At 44.3% G+C, this 20224-nt stretch overlaps 1 protein-coding gene across 2 annotated transcripts in view, besides 1 other annotated feature; it reads right to left on the minus strand.

Annotated features, from left to right (window-relative positions):
* The window catches only part of DAP (death associated protein), an 82005-nt gene that overhangs the window by 56467 nt on the left and 5314 nt on the right, over positions 1 to 20224 (minus strand). For both annotated transcript variants that reach the window (NM_001291963.2, NM_004394.3), the window contains exon 2: positions 12479 to 12575. In NM_001291963.2, the coding sequence (NP_001278892.1) occupies positions 12479 to 12575 (97 nt within the window). The remainder of the gene's footprint in view (positions 1 to 12478; positions 12576 to 20224) is intronic.
* Positions 512 to 661: an enhancer, noted in NCBI's record as "active region_22381". NCBI's record gives its function as "activates an Ori minimal core promoter by ATAC-STARR-seq in GM12878 lymphoblastoid cells {active_cell/tissue: GM12878}" and the evidence as "EXISTENCE:reporter gene assay evidence [ECO:0000049][PMID:35858748]".

Raw genomic sequence — 20224 nt, forward strand, 5'->3', positions numbered from 1 at the left:
GCTGCAGTGCTCAGCCTGAGCAACAGTAAACACTGGCATAGGGGAAGAGAGAATCATTTGCCATGTAAGCATCATAGTTAATAAATTATCGTGCTGTCATTGCTGTTGGAATGCCAACAGAGCCAGGTACTGCCAGCTGACGCCTAGTAGCACAAGGTGCTGCTTGCTTGTTGTGGGTTGAATTTACGTTTCCCCCAGAAACAGAGGTTGAGATCCTAGGCTCCAGTACTTAAGGGCATGACCTTATCTACAAACAGGGTTGTTGCAGATGTAATTAGTTAAGAAGAGGTCATACTGGAGAAGGGTAGGCCCCTAATGCAATAGGACAGGTGTCTTTATAAAAAGGGGAAGTTTGGTCACAGACAGGCACACAGGGAGAACGTCAGGCAAAGGCAGCAGAGTGAGGCTGCCACCAGCCAAGCACTATCAGAAGCTGCGAGACAGGCCTGCGACAGACCTTCCCCAGCGCCTGCAGAGGGAGTGTGGTCCTGCCAACACCTTGATCTCAAGCTTCTGGCCTCCACAACTGTGAGACGAAACATTTCTGTTTTTAAACCACCCAGTTTGTGCAACTGTGTTATGGGAGCACTAGGAAAACTAATGTGCTGCTTCTTGGTGGAGAGGCAGCCAGCCTGCCTGGAAGTTCTGCCCACTCTAACCTGGGTGGAGATGAGAATGGCTTTGTCCTAATGGCAGATCTCGAAGCTGCCATTAGGACAGCCTGCAGCCTCTGGAGAGGCTGCCAGACGCCAACCCTCCCTGGGCAGCCTCGCTTGCACAGATGTCATCCTGCATGGGGCTTCACACGCAGCGGATGCTGCCAGCAGACTCGGCTGCCGTCAGGGGGTTTGAGGGCTTGTGCTTGTTCTGTCAACTTTCTGCCGCCCAAGTTGCCACAGGCAAAACGCTTCCTTTTACCACTCCCTTGCTGGCACATAAACGGTGACACTTCAGCAATGCCCCATTTTGCCTACAAACTTGGTCTCTGAGTCTCAGTCTGACAAACCTGACAGGAAGAACTGCCCAACAGCAACGGGAATCTTCCTGATTCTCCTTCCCAGGGCAGATGGGCTATTTGTTACTATTTTATGCTGCCATGAAATCAGGCCTGCTTTTTATTCTGAGGGTCTTGCTGTACCTTCCTTACAGCTTCTCCCTGGAAGAGGCCTCTCAGTCCATAAGCAGTGACAACCAGTTACCCCCTCAAACAGACACTACATGTCACTCAGTGCCTGGGCCATGTTGCGGCTCTGCCTTTGGCCAGTGCAGGGCTCTGTGGCCCGTGGCACTCCAGCACCTGGGTCAGCTGCTGCTGGCAAGTGGTGGGCCCTGTCTGCCAGCACAGGGCACTCACAATATTGGAGCTGAGCCAGGTACGGTGGCTCACGCCTGTAATCCCAACACTTTGGGAGGCTGAGGCAGGCGATCACCTGAGGTCAGGAGTTTGAGAGCAGCCTGGCCAACATAGTGATATCCTGTCTCTACTAAAAATACAATAATTAGCTGGGCATGGTGGCATGTAGCCTGTAATCCCAGCTACTCGGGAGGCTGAGGCAGGAGAATCACTTGAACCTGGGAGGTAGAGCTTGCAGTGAGCTGAGATCACGCCACTGCACTCCAGCCTGGGCGACAGAGCAAGACTCTGTCTCAAAAAAAAAACAAAAACAAAAACAAAACAACAACAACAACAAAAAAAACTGGAGCTGAGAGCTGGCCGGTGCTCAGCATCCCTGGTCTACTGAAATCTCCACACACATGGTAGAGAACAGGGACACGCCCCTCTTAAAAGGCAGCTGGCAACTAGCCTGGATATAAAAGGTGACATTAGAACTTAAGGGTAATGTTGAAATTGGTTCACCAAACGGCTTAAAGTTCAAACATGCAGATCATGGCTAAAGATAAAAATTCCCAGGCATACATGCCTGAGATTTAAGCTGGCACATTGCTGGGCCATCTTTTAACTGAAGTTTTAAATTTTCTATTTATTATCTTAACAATGAACTTGACTGAGAGAACCATTAAAAATTGCTATAGATCACCATTTGGCATCTGCTACGGGTTGACTTGTGTCCTCCAAAAAAGGCATGCTGAAATCCTAACTCCCAGTACTTCAGAATGTGAGCTTATTTGGAAGTGGGATCTTTATTAATCCAGTTAAAATGAAGTCATCAGGATGGGTCCTAATCCAATATGACCAGTGTCCTTATGAAAAGGGGAAATTTGGACACAAAGACACACAAAGAGGAAAGATGATGTAGAGACACAGGGAGAAACCATGTAAAGGCACAGGACTGGAGTGATGCATCTACAAGCCAGGGGATGCCAGAGATTGCAGAAACCACCAGAAGCTAGGGGAGCAGCATGGAACACATGCTTCCCACAGCTCTCAGAAGCAACCAACCTGCCAACACCTTGCTTTCAGCATTCTGGCCTCCAGAACTGAGATGACAAATGTGTTATTTAAAGCCACCCAGGTTGTGGCATTTTGTTAAGGCAGCCCTGGGAAACAAATACAGTATATCTGCAGTAGTTACTGTTTCAGGCAAGCATCATCAGTGAATGCTGAAAGTAGCAGGCAAAAGTTTGATGAGAAACACAATACTCATAGAGTTGCAAAGTATTCCCCCATGAGATATGTATGAATTACAAAGGGTAAAATAGTAAATTGATAGTGGAGAAACTTGGCAGATGCCATCTTAACTGAACAATCAAAGCTGGCATCACCGGCCATGAGATGGGGAGTGTCGTGTACCTCCTGATCCAATGCATCAAGAAGGACAAGACCTCGCTTCTGTGCAGCCCCTGCCCTGAAAGCAGGACCTGAATCCAATCATGAAGGCACATCAGAAAAATTGAACTGAGGAAAATCCTACAAAATAAATGACCTATACTCTTCAAACATGTCAAGGTCATGAAAGATTTTAAAAAGCTGGATAACTGTTCTAGATTAAAGGCGACTAAAGATATATCACTAAATGAAGGTATAATCCTGGACTGAAATTTGTGGCAGTAGTGGGAAAATGGGCCAAGTCTGAAGAGTCTGTAGATTAGATAACACTACTGTTTCAATGTTAGTTTCCTGATTTTGATAATTATACAGTACTTGCTTTTAGTAAACACACACTAAAGCATTCCAGAGTAAAAGAGCTCTTCAGAAGAAAGTTCGTATAAACAGACAGATGTAGATTTAGATATATGTGAGCGTTAAGAAATGGGAGGAGCAGGGCTGGGTGCAGTGGCTCATGCCTGTAATCCCAGCACTTTGGGAGGCTGAGGAGGGTGGATCACAAGGTCAGGAGATCGAGACCATCCTGGCTAACACGCTGAAACTCTGTCACTACTAAAAATACAAAAAATTAGCCGAACGTGGTGGCATGTGCCTGTAGTCCCAGCTGCTGGGGAGGCTGAGGCAGGAGAATGGCGTGAACCTGGGAGGTGGAGCTTGCAGAGAGCCGAGATCGCACTACTGCATTCCAGCCTGGGTGACAGAGCAAGACTCTGAATCAAAAAAAAAAAAAAAAAAAAAAAAAGAAAGAAAGAAATGGGAGGAGCAGCAAGTGTGGTGAAATTTTACCATATGAGGAATATGGTGAGGGGTAGATGGGATTTTTTTAGTACTTTTTTTTTTTGGCAATTTTTCTGTATGTCTGAAATTATTTCAAAACAAAAAGTTTTAAAAAATCACCACAGATGTAATAACAGCTATCACTTAATACGTGACTGAGATGGTTGAGGTGTTTTTATATGTTGTCTAATTGACCAGTGAATTATAATCACATGAGGCAAATATTATGATTCCCACTGGCACTCTAGGCCTCACCCAGGACCAAGAAGAGGTCCATCTTGGTTGGAAAGGGATGAGGGAACTGAAAGGCTCTCGCCCACAAGGCTCAGCACACACACAGAGCCTGCTGAAGTCCAATGGCAGGGCAGGAAAATAGACACACCTTCCAGGCATTCATATCCTAAGCCACTACAAGTGGGAAGGTTATAATCCTACCTTCAATTAATTTGATATTTGTGAGGTCTTGAATCTAACTTAAGCAGCAATACAGCCCAGGCCCGGTTCAACTATAAATACTAAATTAACTCACACACACACACACACACACACACACACACACGAATGGGTTTGAACAGAAAAGGCATGCTGTTTTCTGGACTGATGTAAATATTATTTACTTCAGCTTCTAGTGTTATTTCTGTCTCTGTCATTCTTTTACACACCAGGTTTTACTTTACTTAAAAATTAAAAGACCCTCGAAGAAGTGATGTGACCCACTGTAAAGAAACAAACAGTTAACAGAATGAGGGACCAAGCCTGGATGTTGGACTCATCAGATGAAGATTTAAAATAACTGTGATAAATATCTGTGAAAAGACAGGAAATTTCAGCAGAGAAATGGAAGCTATACATTTTTAAAAGCCAAATGGAAGTGGAAATGAAAAACAGGATATCAAAGATGAATTCTTTCACTGGACTTATTGCCACACTGGGCACAAGAGAAAGGAGTCAGGTTCAAAAGAAACCATCTACACTGAAATAGGAGAGGAAAAAAGAGTCGGCGGCAGAGAGGAGAAAAACAGAGCATCCGAGGCCTGTGAACATATCAAATGTTCACTATGGGTACAACTAGAGTCTCAAAAAAAGAAGAGAAAAATGAAGCAAGGATATTTTTGAAAAGACAATGGCCAACAATTTTTCCAAGCTGATGACACCAAACCATAGATAAAAAATGCTCAGTGAATCCCAAGTAAGATACATACAAAGACAACCAAACTTGGTGCATCACAAACACACTGTTGAAAAACAGAAATAAAGAGAAAATCTTGAAAGTAACCATAGGTAAACAGAAACATTACATACAGAGAAAAATGACAAGAATTATGGCTGACTTCTCGCTGTACACAATGGAAGCCAGAAAAAAATGGAATGCCGTGTTTAACACATTGAAAGAAAAAATTTTTAACTAGGAATTCAATATATAGTGAAAACATCTTTCAAAAGTAAAAGCAAAACAAAGACATTTTCAGAAAGACAAAACCTGGAAGAATTCATCTCCAGCAGACATTTACTATCACAAATATTTTCAGAAAGAGAATAAAACAGACAGAAACCCAGTGGGAAGAAATAAAGGACACCAGACAGAATGAACATTAGATGTGCATAATGAATCTTTAAAAGATATTTCATATCTATCTTTCTTTAAACATCTTTAAAAGGCTACTATTAAAAACAATAACAATGTAAGTGGAAGTTGTAGCCAGTGGTGTGTTGGAGCTGACTTACACTGGCATGTAGAGCTGACTGTTCACATGTCTTCACAAGTCTATGTTTAGTGATGTCATGTTGTTAGTTTAAAATTGGCTGTAGCTGGGTGTGGTGGTTCACGCCTGTAATCCCAGCACTATGGGAGGCTGAGGTAGGAGGATTGCTTGAGCTCAAGAGTTTGAGACCAGCCTGGGCAATGTGGTGAGACCTGGTCTCTACAAAAAAAATTTAAAAATTTGCTGAGCGTGGTGGTGTACACCTCTAGTCCTAGCTACTTGCGAGGCAGAGGTGGGAGGACTGCTTGAGCCCAGGAGGCTGAGGCTGCAGTAAGCCAGGATTATGCTACTGCAATCCAGCCTGGGTGGCAGAGTGAGACCCTGTCTCAAAAAAAAGCAGGTGCGGTGGGGGGCTGTGGTAGGAGTATTCACACCATAAAATTAGCAAATGCTACAAATCGGGCTTTTAAAATTTTTTCTTGGAGGGCCAGGAGATAAGTAATCACCAGCACATTATTTTTTATAGTATTGGTAGAAGTAAAGTATATGACAAAACACAAAGTGGGTAGAGTGGTAATTAGAAGTATACTGTTGTAAGTTTCTTAAGTTGTTTATGAAGTAGTAGACTAGTTTCTGAAGGCAGACTAAGTTAAAATGAGGGTTGGCAAAGCTTTTCTATAAAGGGCGAGATAATAAGTTCAGTCCATCATTACTATTTATTTATTCCATTTTTGTAAACGTGCCTACTTGCTAAAATTTATTTGTAACCCCAAAATCAAACACACGTAGCACCTTCGTGGTCATTCACAGACACAGGCAGAGCAGCGAAGGCTTTTTGTAGTATTTTTTGTGACAATCAACCTGCATTTTCCCAGCTGAGGCTGAAGGTGGTGCTCTGCCTTCTTCCCGTTTTCATACTGTACACAATGTGCTTCTCATGGCTTCCACGGTAAAGACACTCTTTTCATTTTGTTTTGTAATTAATAGATATATTGGGGAAGATACTTTGAGACTACGCAAATATCCTGTTGACTACGTAAATATCGTGTTTTTCCTCAAACTTTTACCCATTAATTCTGACATCCATCAGTGGATCTTGTCTATAACAATTACTGTGCTGTTTGCCTCCTGGTGATATTCTAGTTACCTCCTTTCTTATACATTAAGTAACTGGAGTTCTTCTACAAAAAAGAGCTATCCGTTCTCCTGGCTTGTTAATTCAATTATTTATGTCAGTATGGACTCATGGATATTTATTTTACCGTATGGGTTAAAATCTAACACTATCGGCCGGGTGCGGTGGCTCATGCCTGTAATCCCAGCACTTTGGCAGGCTAAGACGGGCCAATCACAAGGTCAGGAGTTCAAGACCAGCCTAGCCAACATGGTGAAACCCCGTCTCTACTAAAAAAATTAGCCAGACGTGGTGGCAGGTGCCTGTAATCCCAGCTACTCGGGAGGCTGAGGCAGGAGAATCACTTGAAACCGGAAGACAGAGGTTGCAGTGAGCTGAGATCATACCACTGCACTCCAGCATGGGCAACAAGAGTGAAACTCCATCTCAAAAACAAAAACAAAAAAATCTAATACTATCACTTTGTTGCAAATTATTCCAGCTAAGGCCATAAGGAGATTCTTCAGGTGGGCTTCTATAACATTCTGCCCTGCCCCAAACCTTTCTGGAGAACTTCCTTATGTTCTGGCACTACAGTATATTCCAGGCTCATCTAGTATTTTTCCTGTCCTGGCCTGGAATCAACTACTTCTCCAAGGAACCGTGGTTCCTCTGACTGGGGAATGGTGTTTAGACACCACAGTCTGGGCCCTAGGGATGCTTATGGCTGCATGGGCGTCAGTTCTTTAGGCCCTCTCAGTGAACAAAGCTAGGAAATACAGGTATGACACTAACCCTCTCATCCATATTCATTTCTGTATATCTGTATAGGTATGTTTGTATCTACCATCCATCCATCCATCCATCCATCCATCTATCCATTCAGAACCATATGTTCATACAGATACTTCTAGTTCCCATCCAACAGCACCAAGTTCATTTCAGTCTTCTCCCTTTCCTATTTGTAACCTCTTTCTCTGACAGTGAGGAACTCGGCTCTTTGTTTGTTGAATCCTAGTATTCACATAAGGCAATTTCAGAATTGCTAAACCATGCCCCTTAAGAAGCCTGTTTACTAACTGAAGTACACCATTTATGCATAGTTTTTTATTGTCTTTAGCCTTATAGTATCCACTTAAAAATGTTGTTTTCCAAAGTTAATTAGGTAACTCCCTACTCCCTTAAATATGGTTATATCAAGCAATTGCATTTCCCACTCCCTTCAATCCGTCAGTGCTTGTACGCCATTCTGGGTCCCTCCCACCTCTTGGTTGATGTGAATTGTTGGCTTACTTGTCAGGTGTGTGAAACAGTGCCATGGTTCTAGGTCAGAACCATGCAAAAAGTCAAGCTCAGGGAAGAATTGTTCCTTATTCCCCATTTCTGTTTCTTCCTTCTTTCCACCCCTTTTCCATCCACCACTTGTCAGTGACCAAACCCGTTCTTTTCTGGTTTACCCCTCCTGTTATCCATTCCTTTTTAATATCTTGTACCAAGCCCAGATCATGGCAGAATGTCAGCAAATGTTTGACATTAAACTGTTTTCTCTAGTGAACCCTGACTCCTAAAGTCCATTCTATGTCTGCAGTCTCTCCTTTACATAATGAAACTGGCTACTTTATCTTATGACACTCGACAAAAGGCTTGGAAACCACCAGTTTCCTTAATTGGGTCGGCTCGAGATGGAATCAAGCAGCCACGCAGGAAAGTATTAGCTAATAATAATGAAGACTATTACTCTTCCTGGACATGAAGAACCACCAGTAACTAGAACTCAGGTTGACGGAAATTCTTTGGCAGCATTTTCACATTTTGGCTATATTTTTTTTAACACAGCATCTCAAAACAACTTGGTAGCATAAGAAATTACGTTTAAGTCTGTGGAAAGCTACAAGATTAAAGGGAATAAGAGTTGCATAAACAATTGCAAGAAAAATAACTAGTAAAAGTTGCAGGGCTTTTTTTTTCCTGTCAACACAGTAACATCTTTAATCTTCCACTTGTCCCTTTTCTCTGTAATCAGTACTTGATTTTCCAATTAATGGGGAAGGAAGCCACCAGAGATGAGTCAGTAAATTTAAAACTAGTCTTGAATGTCTGGCAAGGAAAAGAAAGTTTTGCAAATGTACATCTATAGCTAAGAAGGAAACTGGCATTTGGTGTTAGGTACTCATTTTCATATCTGAACAACACTGGGATCAAAATTAAAGAATATAAAACTTTAGGATCAGGGTAATGTGGATAGGAAAGTCACATGCTATAAGACATTTCCAAGAGGATAATTAAGTGTTTTATACATTCTGCAAGTAAGTAGGCTTTTCCATACCTGAAGTAAAACCAGCCTAGTCCCCTGAAACCTTATTGTAAAGTGATAATTAGACCACCTACTGACGGTGAGGCTGCAAAAGGGTAGGATTATGGGTTTGAGGAGCGCAGACAAGGTTATGGGCAACCCCAGAATCAGTAAGTTTCATTTACAGAGAGATCAGGATTGCAATCTATGTGGATCCAGGGACTTACGTGACATATCAGGGGCAAGGGCTTCCAAACCAAGACAGACTCAAGGCTGAATCCTGGCCAGGCCAATGACCGACTACATATCATTGGGTTGGAAACCTCCCTAAGCTTTGCTTTCTTCGTCTCTATAATGGACACAGTAATACCAACTTATAGGTGCGGTGAGCACTAAATTCAACGTGAAGCACTTAGCAGGTGCCCAGCACAAAACAAGAGCCCAATGGCTAAGCAAAGCCTCGTGGAGCAGCGTAAGGAATCCAGAAGCTGCCACCAGCACTGGAATGCTGGCACTGCCACTTACCCACCGTGTGCCCTCGGAAAAGTCACTTCACTCTCAGAGCTCTTGAAGAGGGAGTAGTAATTCAGAATGGGAGTAATAGCCAATAATAAACAGCTCTGAGATAGGGATGATAACAAACTGAGCAGTAGCACAGATCAAATGAATTAATATGAACAGAGCAGTTAGAACAGAGCCGAGCTCATTGCACTCTGTAAGAATGAGTGATGATGATGATTGATTATGATTATTCAATCAGTCCACCAGAGAAATGGGGAGTGGGAGTGCATGGTGGTAAAAGTAAACTATTACACAGAGTACCAGGCCTCGTGGAGTGTGTTAGAAAAAGCTGTTTTGGCAACTTACATCAATAGCTAAAGAGTGTACACAGGCTTACCCCGTTCTGTAAATGCTGTGTCGAGTTGTTTAACCCACAGCAGTAAACAGCCAAGCCAAAGTCAAGAGGACAAGTGCTAACACACTCATCAGGAATGTATCCTAGCAATTTGGCTGCAGGGAACAACAACAACAAAAGCCTTGCTCATGTGCTTTGCAAACCATACCCTGCAGTCGGCCTGCTTCAAAATATCTGGTTCTCTAGAGATAGAGAACAAATCTTTAAGGTAAATAAGATGCTACAATCTACAGCGCTGGGGTGCTCGATCTTTCCTCTTCAACTGTTCATCCTCTGGCATATTTATTTAAATTGATCATCTTCTAGAAAAGCTGCATGTCAACTCATGAAAAAAATCAACAGAAAGAAAACTAGTGGGCTGTTCTGTCCTTATTTCTAAACTTGCTAATAAATTACTATCTCTCATTGTATTGACACTGTGTTAGGTAGGGAACTAGCTATCTGTACCTTATTCCACTTAAACTCACCAAGAAAAGCAGTGTTTCATTAACTTTCCAGGAACTTTTTTTCCAGGCAAGGCGATATCTCTTGCCCTCTTTCTTCCTTGGGGAAACAGATGGTTATGAAGAAGGGCAATGACACCCCAGGTTTCCTAGAGGGAAATTACTACAGGCTTACACACTCTTAGCCTCGATTCCCAACTCAAGAATGCTCAGAAAATGGAAGGCTTCCTCATAACTTGTACGGAGGCAAAACTTAACCTGAAGTGACACTAGTCCCTAAATTTAAAAAAATTATCTAATTCGGTTTGAACATCACATATAGATTACAATATACTGCCTGAGACCCCACTGGGGGTACTATGTGGTATATGCAAGGTTTTATTCTCCTAGGGGGTACTATGTGGTATATGCAAGGTTTTATTCTCCTAAAAGCAGTAATATCCTCCTAGACTCCCAAATTTCTCCATTCTAAAATACGTCGGGCCGCAAGTCCTACAGATATACAATTGTGAACTTACAGGAGAGTTGCTGATGCTGTTACGTTCCAAACATAGCTTTGTGAATACAGTAAGTGAGAAAAATAATTCTAGCGTTTTTTTTTTGTTTTTTTTTTTTTGAGACAAGAGTTTTGTTCTGTTGCCCAGGCTGGAGTGCAGTGGCATGATCTTGGCTCAATGCAACCTCCGCCTCCTGAGTTCAGGGGGTTCTCCTGCCTCAGCCTCCTGAGTAGCTGGGATTACAGGCACATGCCACCACACCTGACTGATTTTTGTGTTTTTAGTAGAGACGGGGTTTCCCCATGTTGGCCAGGCTGGTCTCGCACCCCTGACCTCAAGTGATCCACCCACCTCGGCCTCCCAAAGTGCTGGGATTACTGGCGTGAGACACCGTGCCCGGACAATTCTAGCATTTTCTTTAAACTGCCTTCTTTTAAACCAGAACTGGGACTGAATCTTTACACTGCTAATCTCATGATTTAAAATGGACAATAATCACTAATAATCACTCAGAAATGTCACCCAAAATGCTGTTCTTCCCTCACGTGGCCGCTCCGTAACTCATACTGTATCAGGTTTTATAGACAATACTCAATGGGGAAGGCCACTTAGAAGCAGACAGGCAGGGTTACCAAGAACATGCACCACTTCCTCATGTGGGTGCCTACTCTTGGCAACTATCCATTTGGAAGCCTAGCCCGCTGAGCACTCCATGAGAACTGGGTTGAACTTCCTGCTACGTTACCTAGCACGGTGCATGATATGGGCAAGCTGATATCCTCTTTGGGGTTCTGTTTCCTTGTACATAAACTGGGGAGAATACCACCTACTATTCAGGACTGCTGGAATGAAATGAAATAAAAGCATGGGCCTAATCCACAGGAATCAAGGTTAGCTTCTTTCCACAGCCTCTTTCCCCTTCCACACCCTCTCCTCTTCTGACTGAGACATCATCTGGAGACAGGCTGTATAAGTAGAGAGCTTAGTGCTTTCTTCTACGTGGACGAGCTCCCGCAGAGGTGTGTTAGTGGTGCCTGTTTGCGTATTGCAAAGTCGAGAGAAATGGATTCCTTTCAAGGTCCCTGAACCCAACTGGAAATCTGAACCTTTAAGGAAAATAGGTGTTGAGCAGGGGAGGAGGGGTCTGCAAGGAGACCCCTGTGCAGGCCCCAGGAGGGTTGGCAGCAGAGGTATCATATAAGGACACCCAGTCACTCATAAGGGCATGGCCTTGTAATTCTAGATCTGGCTGATGATCCGAGGGAGGAAATGCTTCAACCATTCTGAAATCAGAAGTTCTTGCCCCAGCTACACAGACAGCCAGGTCCACCCCTGAGGTTCAACTAGTGCGGCAATTCTCAAGGGTCTCCATGTGATTTCAGTATGGAAGCCTAAGTTGCAAACTACTGCCCAGAAATTGTTAGTATTTGTTTCTCTGGAATGACAACAGAAACCTGGAGTACAAAAGACTCACAGGTGCAAGAATTTGCCTACTTCGTCCACTCTGGTGGTCCAGCCTTGGGAAGAGGGTGGCTGGCAGCTGTGTCCACCATCAGAAAACCAATGAGCCACAGGAAGCTGCTCCTGCTTGGCTTGGCTTGCCCTGGCTTCCAGGAAGGGAGGCACACTGGCTAAACCCAGGCACCTGGGCAGGTGGAGGTAGGTCTCTAACTGTGCAGACAGACGGGGCACCAGCCCCTGGGTGTGGGGTGGGGAACAGGGTGGGCGCGTGGCAACTGCTCAGGAAAGAGGACCTCTAGGGGCTCTATTTTCTCCCCTGACTGAAAACAAAGCCCCCTCCTCCCTGATTAGGAAGGGAAAAATACACAGAACAGGGCCCCACATAGCCCAGGAGTTATCAGAATCATAGAACAGAGAACAAATGTTAATGCTTAACCGAATAGGGTTTTTGGAAAACATGCTCAAGAGTCGCTAGCATCATCCCACCTGGGGCTTTCCCATTCCTGGTCATCCTTGTCTTTCTCTTCTTTGGTGTCTCCTGTATGTGGGTGTTTCTGCACAATTCGCATTCCACCAGCTTTCACTGAAATGAAAACAGAGAGTGTGGGATTAATGTGGAAATGGGGCTGCCTGTGGATCAGGGGGACCAGCTGGAAAGGTTCTGGTTGCTCAGTGGCCACAAGTCAGTCTGGAGAATCTGGCAATGAAAATGATTAACTAGGGAAGGTCAGGGTTGTCGGGGTAAATTCAAAATGATACAGCACTCAACATAATCTCTTACTACAGATCCACTCAGAAACTTTCCAAGGCTCTTGTTTTTCTATCTGGTCACCTTTCAAGTATTTTGTCAGAGCAGCAGTGTAACGAGGGCACAAACTACACAAAGAGAGTGGCTGCTGCTTTCAGTTCTCCACAGTCTCAACACAAGAGCTCACCTCAACCCTCCCCTGTGAAATTTACTTTCTCAAATATCGAAGATGTTTTTGATGGGGTGATATGGTGATGGGTGACATGGGACAGCTACTGTGCCTTCACAGAGCCCAGGCAAGTGGCAACAAAACTTCTACTGCAGCTTTGCCCAAACTGTGCTGTGAAACCCTACCGCTGGCAGATGTTAACTTAGTTTTAAAAAACAGCTTTATAGATATGTAATTCATGTAGAATACAATTCATTCATTTAAACTGTATAATTCGATGGTTTTGAGTGCATTCAGAATTGTACAACCATTGCCATAATCAATTTTAGGAGATTTTCATCACCCCAAACAGAAACCCCACAGCCATGAACAGTTACCCTCCATTCCACCCCTCCCAGCTCCTGGAAGCCAGTCACCTGGACTTGCTTATTTCGGACATGTGATATAAGTGGAATTATAAACTATGTGGCCTTTGGTGACTGGCTCCTTGCACTTAGCGTGTTTTCAAGGTTCATCCATGTTACAGCACGTGTAAGTATCTCATTCCTCTTCTTGTCAAATATTCTATTGCATGGATGTATCACATTGTATCTCTCCACTCATCAATTAGACATTTGCGTTGTTTCTACTTTTTTGGCTATTATGAACAATGCAGCTGTGAAGAACTTACACGTAAGTTTTTGTATGGACATATGTTTTCATTTCCTTGAGTATATACCGAGAAATGGAACTGCCAGGCCACATGGTGCCTCTGAATTTATCCTTCTGAAAACCACCAAGCTGTCTTCCAAAGCCTCCACACTATTTCACATTCCCACCAGTGTGTGGGTTCCAATTCTCCACATGTTCCCGACACTTACTATTGTGTGTCTTTTTAATTATAGCCATCCTAGTGGGTGTGAAGTGGTCTCTTATTGTGGTTTGATGTGCAATTCCTTTATGGCTAATATGTTAATACTGTGTTGTAAGGGGTCGGGTAATCTAGCATCTATTAAGAGTGGGAAATGCCAGGTTGAACAAAATTAAATAGGTTTCCCCAAGAGAGACCTTCTTGGCCCTTAGTGTGCTACCTGCATGAGGAAGACTTACAGGAGGCATACAGCTTGCCAGCTCTCCCCAGCCTATCTGACCACACAACTTTTTTTTTTTTTTTTTTTTTGGCTATAATACCAGTTATCCTCCATCAGGGCTACAGTGTTCCATGAACAGAATTTGGAAATGCTGGCTGGCCCTAAATCCAAAAAGCCAGCCTCGCATGGTAGCCACCAGCATGTGTTTGGGGTCGGCACGTTCCTCCACGCCCTCAGCTATGTGGTCTCAGACTAGTGTCTCAGATTCTCAAAGATTCCCTGCTTCATCTGCAGAAAGGAGATAAACCTCCTCAGACTATTAAGAAGAGAGAGGCGTTCGGGAGAGTGGGGTGCTGGCTAGAAAGCAGGGTCATTTTCCTTGTAGTCATTGGCCCCCCAGGCTCTGGATGTGGGCCTTACTGAGCTTTACCCTTCAAGTCTCTGAGTCTCTGCCACAAGACGGCTAACATCACGATACAGTCAACTTGCCACACCATGTCCTCTGGCATTTTAAACTGAGTGGACCCTGCCGAGTCACGAAAACCCAGGCCAACTTTCTTTATGCTGCTGATGAACGGGAAGGAGAATGGGAGAGGCAGCCTGGGGCTTACATGCTTCAGGTGTACTGGTCTTCAATTTCCCTGGGAGACTTGGCCAGCCCGACTGGAGGGAGATGGTGACGTTTGCTCCCAGGACCAGCACTGCCCCAGCAGCTGGCTGTTAGAAAAGGGCAAAAGAGAGCAAGGAAAATGACGACTATTTCCTCTGGCTTGGGTTTAGAACTAAAATCTCCCTGCTGCCCGCACCTCTTCTCAACGGAGAGGACATTCTACTTGGGGCAGAAGGAAACAGAATCCTGTTCAGTAATCCTCTCAAAAATCTGCTCTATATCCCATCAATTGATTTTTAATCACTCTATTTTTCATTCCTACAGCTTTTGTCTCAAATTCACCAGGTATTTGATGGGGTCTTATTCTTTTCTTGTGCGTTCAATTCCTTTATATATTTAATCATTTTAGTTGTATATCCAATTATTTGATTTTCTGAAGTCCTCTGGAGTCTAATCCTGCTGTCTGTTTTTGCCTGTGGATTCTTGCTCTTGTCCTGGGAGACTTGGAGGAGGAATCTGTCTTCACTGGGCTTTACCAGTAAGGATCTCATGGGGCCTGTGATGCAGACAGCAACCCTCTGGGGAGATGCTACACGTGTTTTTGTCAGGCCAGGAGTATAGGTGTCTGAAAATCCTTTTCAAGGCAGATTTCTCAGAAGACAAATTGCCAAACAGTACAAATACGAACTGAACTCATGTAAAAGCAAGCCTTTGTTTACAAATTCTCAAGGAGACCTCTGTCCCCATGTGGAGCCCAGCCTGACACAGTCCGGCTTCCTGGCCCTCCTAGGGCCACTGGGCAGGTTTCCCTCTTCCACCTTTCCCCAGGGGTGTGGCCTCTGAGCATCCAACCTTGGCTACTCCCTGCCTCCTGTGGGCCCACCTCTCATGCTAAAGGTCTGAATTTCAGTTCCTTCTTCGTTTTGGGTTTCCAGGAATTCCTTTCACTTCAAGGTCAAATTCTTTTAAAAAAGCAAAAAGCCAAAGACAAAACAGAAAAGACCTACCATTTGCAGGCAGCTTTTTAATCTAAGATTAAAAAGATTTCCCAGCCTACGTAGTTGGCCTCCCAATCAGAAATGGAGACTGAAAATACAATTATCTACCTACACCTTAGGGTCATTTTCCACTCTCTTGAAACACAGGATCTCAGAGTTATGAATGTTTCGGGCTCAAGGAAGAGCTTAGAAGAACTGTCCCACTAAATATTTTTTAAAAATTCATTTCCCTCCCTGCTCTATCCCACCTCTTTCCCATGCTCATCAGAAATTGATGAAAGATGCTATTACGGGCTGAATAGTGTCCCCCCAAAATTCATAGGTTGAAGTCCTAACTGACATACCCTTAAATTGTAATTGTATTTGGAGAGAGGGTCTTAAAAGACAATTAAGTTAAAATGAGGAATTGAGGTAGGGCTCTAATATAATAGAAATGGTGTCTCTATAAGAGAAAGAGACACCGGGTCGTGCACACACAAAGAAATGGCCTGCAAGGAAACAGCAAGAAAGTGCCATCTGCAAGCCCAGGAGAGAGGTCTCAGGAGAAAGCAGAGCTGCCAACACCTTGATCTTGGACTTCAGCCTCCCAAGCTGGGAGAAATAAATGTCTATGGTTTAAGCCACCCAGTCTGTGGTATTTTGTTAAGGCAGGCCAAACCAACAATACAGATGCCCATTTAAAAATGATCTCTGAATCTTTCCAACTTGGCACACATAAAACTTTTAAACTGTAACTCACAGATGTGTTCATAAAGTAAAAATAAAAAGAGCTGTGCAACTAACTATAAAGAAAACTAATGATGAATGTTAAGGTGACATTTGAAATGATCAAGTCTTCTGAAGCTCCTGCAGGGCAGCCTGTCCGCTCCTCTGCTGAAATAAGCACACAGTGTCAAGGCTCAGTCACCCAGCATTAGCACTTGCATTTAATTTAGTTTCTAAAAACAATTAACTTCATTAATCCCTCTCAGTTATGTTTGGTGATTAATGTAGCAATAAAAAGTGGCAATAATAACAATAATAACTCAAAGCTGAGACAGATTCATTTTAACTTACAATACTGCCAAAAAATATGACAGCACATATTTATTGTGATTGTTGTATCACTGTCTCTAGAACTCTTCATTTGTAAAACTACAAAAGAAGAATTACTTTTGCAGAAATCTTTGCAGAATTATTTGCAAATCAGTATTTTTAGGAGAAACAGAAAAACCTTAGATTTTTGTCGTGGTGGTTGTTATTCAAATGAGAGCTTCAAATGTAAAAAATAAGCTTCCTCTTAGCAGAAGTGCTGTGCAGAGGATAAGAACACAGATGCTGGAGCCAGAACCTTGGGATCAAATCCCAGTTCTGCCTGTGTGTGTGTGTGTGTGCATGTGCCTGTGCATAAGTGTGTGCACATGTGTGCATACGTATGTGCTTGTGTGTGTGGCTGTGTGTGGGCAAGTTGCTGAAGCTCTCTGTGCCTCAGGGTCTGCCACCTATGAAGAAAGAGTGAAAATGTTCCCCTCTCCCAGGGCCAGCTGAGGATTACATGAGTTAGGACACATGAAATGCCTCCAACAGGACCTGGCACACAGGATGTGCTCAACTGTTAGCTAGTCTTATTAAATGGGTTTTTAAGTTAGCATTTAGTACTCAAGAGAGGCCTCTGGAGTCCTCAAATCGTTGGTGCTTTTCCAGCTCTTCACCCTCTCTTCACAGCAGTTCCTTAAAGAGCGCTGCCCTACGGGTTGCTGGGGAATGAAGGCCATGCCCTGTAAAGCACCTGCCCATCGTGGTGCTGACCACCACCAGGACCTCCGTCATTACATCACCACCTGAGGAAGCTTTGGGAGAATCACAGATCCAACTTCTGCTCCTCATCACCACTCTGTGGCAGGCACCGCTCTAACCACTTGGAGTCCACGCATCTTTCACTGCACAGCAGCCCCACGGAGTAGATCCTGAGGCAGGGAGAAGGGGAAGCCAGCGGCCCCAAATCGCACAGCTGGCAAGCGGCAAACTGGGTTCCACCCTTAATCGTAGGTAAGCCTTTCCTTGATCAGATTCCTTCCAGGAAGCAGAGCACCATGGCTTCTGAGAGTAACTCAAAGGAACGGCCTACAGACAGGGCCAGGTTATTACACTACCTAGATAAGGGAAGGTGAGTTTGAAATGAAAAGCTCTCCACAGAGCAGCTGCCTGCCCAAGTGGGAAGGGGAGTGGAGGAAGCTTTACCTACGGTCACATCTGGGAGGTAAGCAAACACCAAGGAGGCAAATGACTATGTGGGACCCTGGGCCAAGCATCCGTCCTCAGGTGTCAGGATGCCTGGCTGTAAGATGCAGTCACTGGTGGCTTGCTATCTGCTAGTGCCAAATAGCAAACTAGAAAATGCTACTGCGGGAAGAAGAAAGGGGAAATACTGGAAGAGTTCCATGAACCAGGGAGCAATTTCCAGCAGGGAGCTAGGAAGGGCTGTTAACTCACACAAATGTCCCAAAAGCATCCACTGCAGGTACTGGAGTATGACTCACAAGTATATGCTACCTTTGTTCTTGCCTGAGAAGAGCTATGGAAATGTTATTCAAAGGGAAGCTCTTCTACCTAAAAGAAGTGACGAAAGGTTCTGAGGACTGTTCCAGTGGAAGGAACAAAACAAAACAGAAAACAACCAGTGCTGCAGGTTATGATTAAACCAAAGGATCTCAGGTAGAGCAATGTAGTGGCAGGTAAGCAAAGGGGCTGGTGAGATTAGGTGGGTAGAACTTCCCAATGCGAACAGGGCAAGGGACTATGGCCTATCTTAGTTAAGAAAAATGACTCCACCAGGAGAGAGGAGAATCACTGGCAAGTGGAGACTCACATCTATGGAAGCCCATGCACCTGAAGGTGGGAACCCTAAAAAGTGGAGAGGATAAAGGGGTGAGAGGCGGTAAGAACGTATGCAGAGAGTGGGTACTGACAGTCTGGCCCAATAACAGACATAAGTTATAGAAGACCCCAATGAGAACCTTGCCCCCAGACCAAGTGGAGCCCTTACAGGAGCTTTCAGGTGTGCATAGATAAGGTAGAAGTAATGGTTTGTGCTAAAAAATGAGCTGGAGCCCCAGATACTTTCCTGAATTTGCACTCTCGTTGGCTTCATACTGCTATTCTGTGCTCAGAATCATAGACTGTGAAGGTGAGAAGGCTCTTAAATTACACGGAGCAACCCTGTTAAAGAATGAAGTTCAGAGACATAGTGGGACCCCCCTGGGCCAAACACTCCATCTTCCACAGCAGTGTGTGTTCCATCCTTGACATAGTTTCTGACCCAAAGGACAAAATGAGTACTGACTGGGCCAGGATGGGCACCTTGCCGGACATCTGACTGGGCCCCTTTCAAGCTGGGAGGTACATGGAGCAGCTACATGTATATCCTTGAGTGCAGGGAGGCTGATTCAAAAAGTTTAGGGGAAAGTAGGATCGGCTGCCTGGAAGTGCTTTGGAAAAGCTGTCATTGGGAATTGGTTGAGGCTAGGACTAGTCAGGTGTTTGCCAGTCTCACTCCCAGCTTCCCCGTAGTTGGATTGGGGGCATCAAACTGGGTCCTGCCCAATAGTATGGGGAAAAGTGACTTTGGTGGGCAGCATCATGTCATCACGTCCCCCCACTCTGGAACCTGTGAGTGTGCTGGGCTACACGGCCAGGGGAAATGAGGGTTGTAGATGGAATTAAGGTTGCTCATCAGCTGACTGTAAGCTGAGGAAGAAGAAGGGAAACTGCTATTCTGTGCTTAGAATCATAGACTGAAGGTGAGGAGATTATTCTGGATTACCCAGGTGGGCCCATGTAATCTCAAGGGTCTCTGAATGTGAAAGAGGGAGGCGGAAGAGTCAGGGCTCTGAGTGTGTGATGTGAGGATGTGACTGGTCATTGCTGCCTTTGAAGAAGCTTTCCTTGGCTTGTGGAGGAAGGCGCCACGAGCCAAGGAAAGTGGGCAGCCTCTAGAAGCTGGAAAAGGCAAGAAAATGGGATTCTCCCCGATCCTCCAGAAGGAACCAGTTGCCCTGTGGATACTTTGATTTTAGCCCAGTGAGACCCATCTTGGACTTCTCACCTCTAGAACTGTAACATAATAAAACTGTGTTGTTTAGAACCACTAAGTTTATTGTGATTTGGTACAGCAGCCATAGGAAACTGATGTGATGATGCATACCACTTGTGGGCCACACCATACGGACCCCAGCACGGCGACCTACACTTGTCCCCTCAGCAGCAGCCACACAATGAAAAGCTAGTGTTATACAGCAAGGGGTGTCTGGGCCTCTGAATTGCTCTTTGTTAAGAAGACCCCACCCAGGAGAGAAATAAACCTGGATTAGTTTGGCCACTGAGAATTTAGGTTGTTTGTTACAACAGGAAGTACCATTCTCTATACCTAATATAGTACTTTATACAAAAGTGAACATTCTCTATAGAAACAAAAAAAACTTCTGAAGCTGGGAAGGGAAAAGCAGTCACAAAACCAAGTAAGAATGCACAGGGCACTGGCCGAAATGAAAAGGACACTCACAAAGACGTTAGAAGTCACAGATAACCAAAAATGGCTAGGGAAGGCTGGGTGCGGTGGCTCATGCCTGGAGTCCCAACACTTTGGGAGGCCAAGGTGG

The sequence above is a fragment of the Homo sapiens genome, chromosome 5, assembly GCF_000001405.40.
Source record: "Homo sapiens chromosome 5, GRCh38.p14 Primary Assembly".
Lineage (NCBI taxonomy): Eukaryota > Metazoa > Chordata > Mammalia > Primates > Hominidae > Homo > Homo sapiens.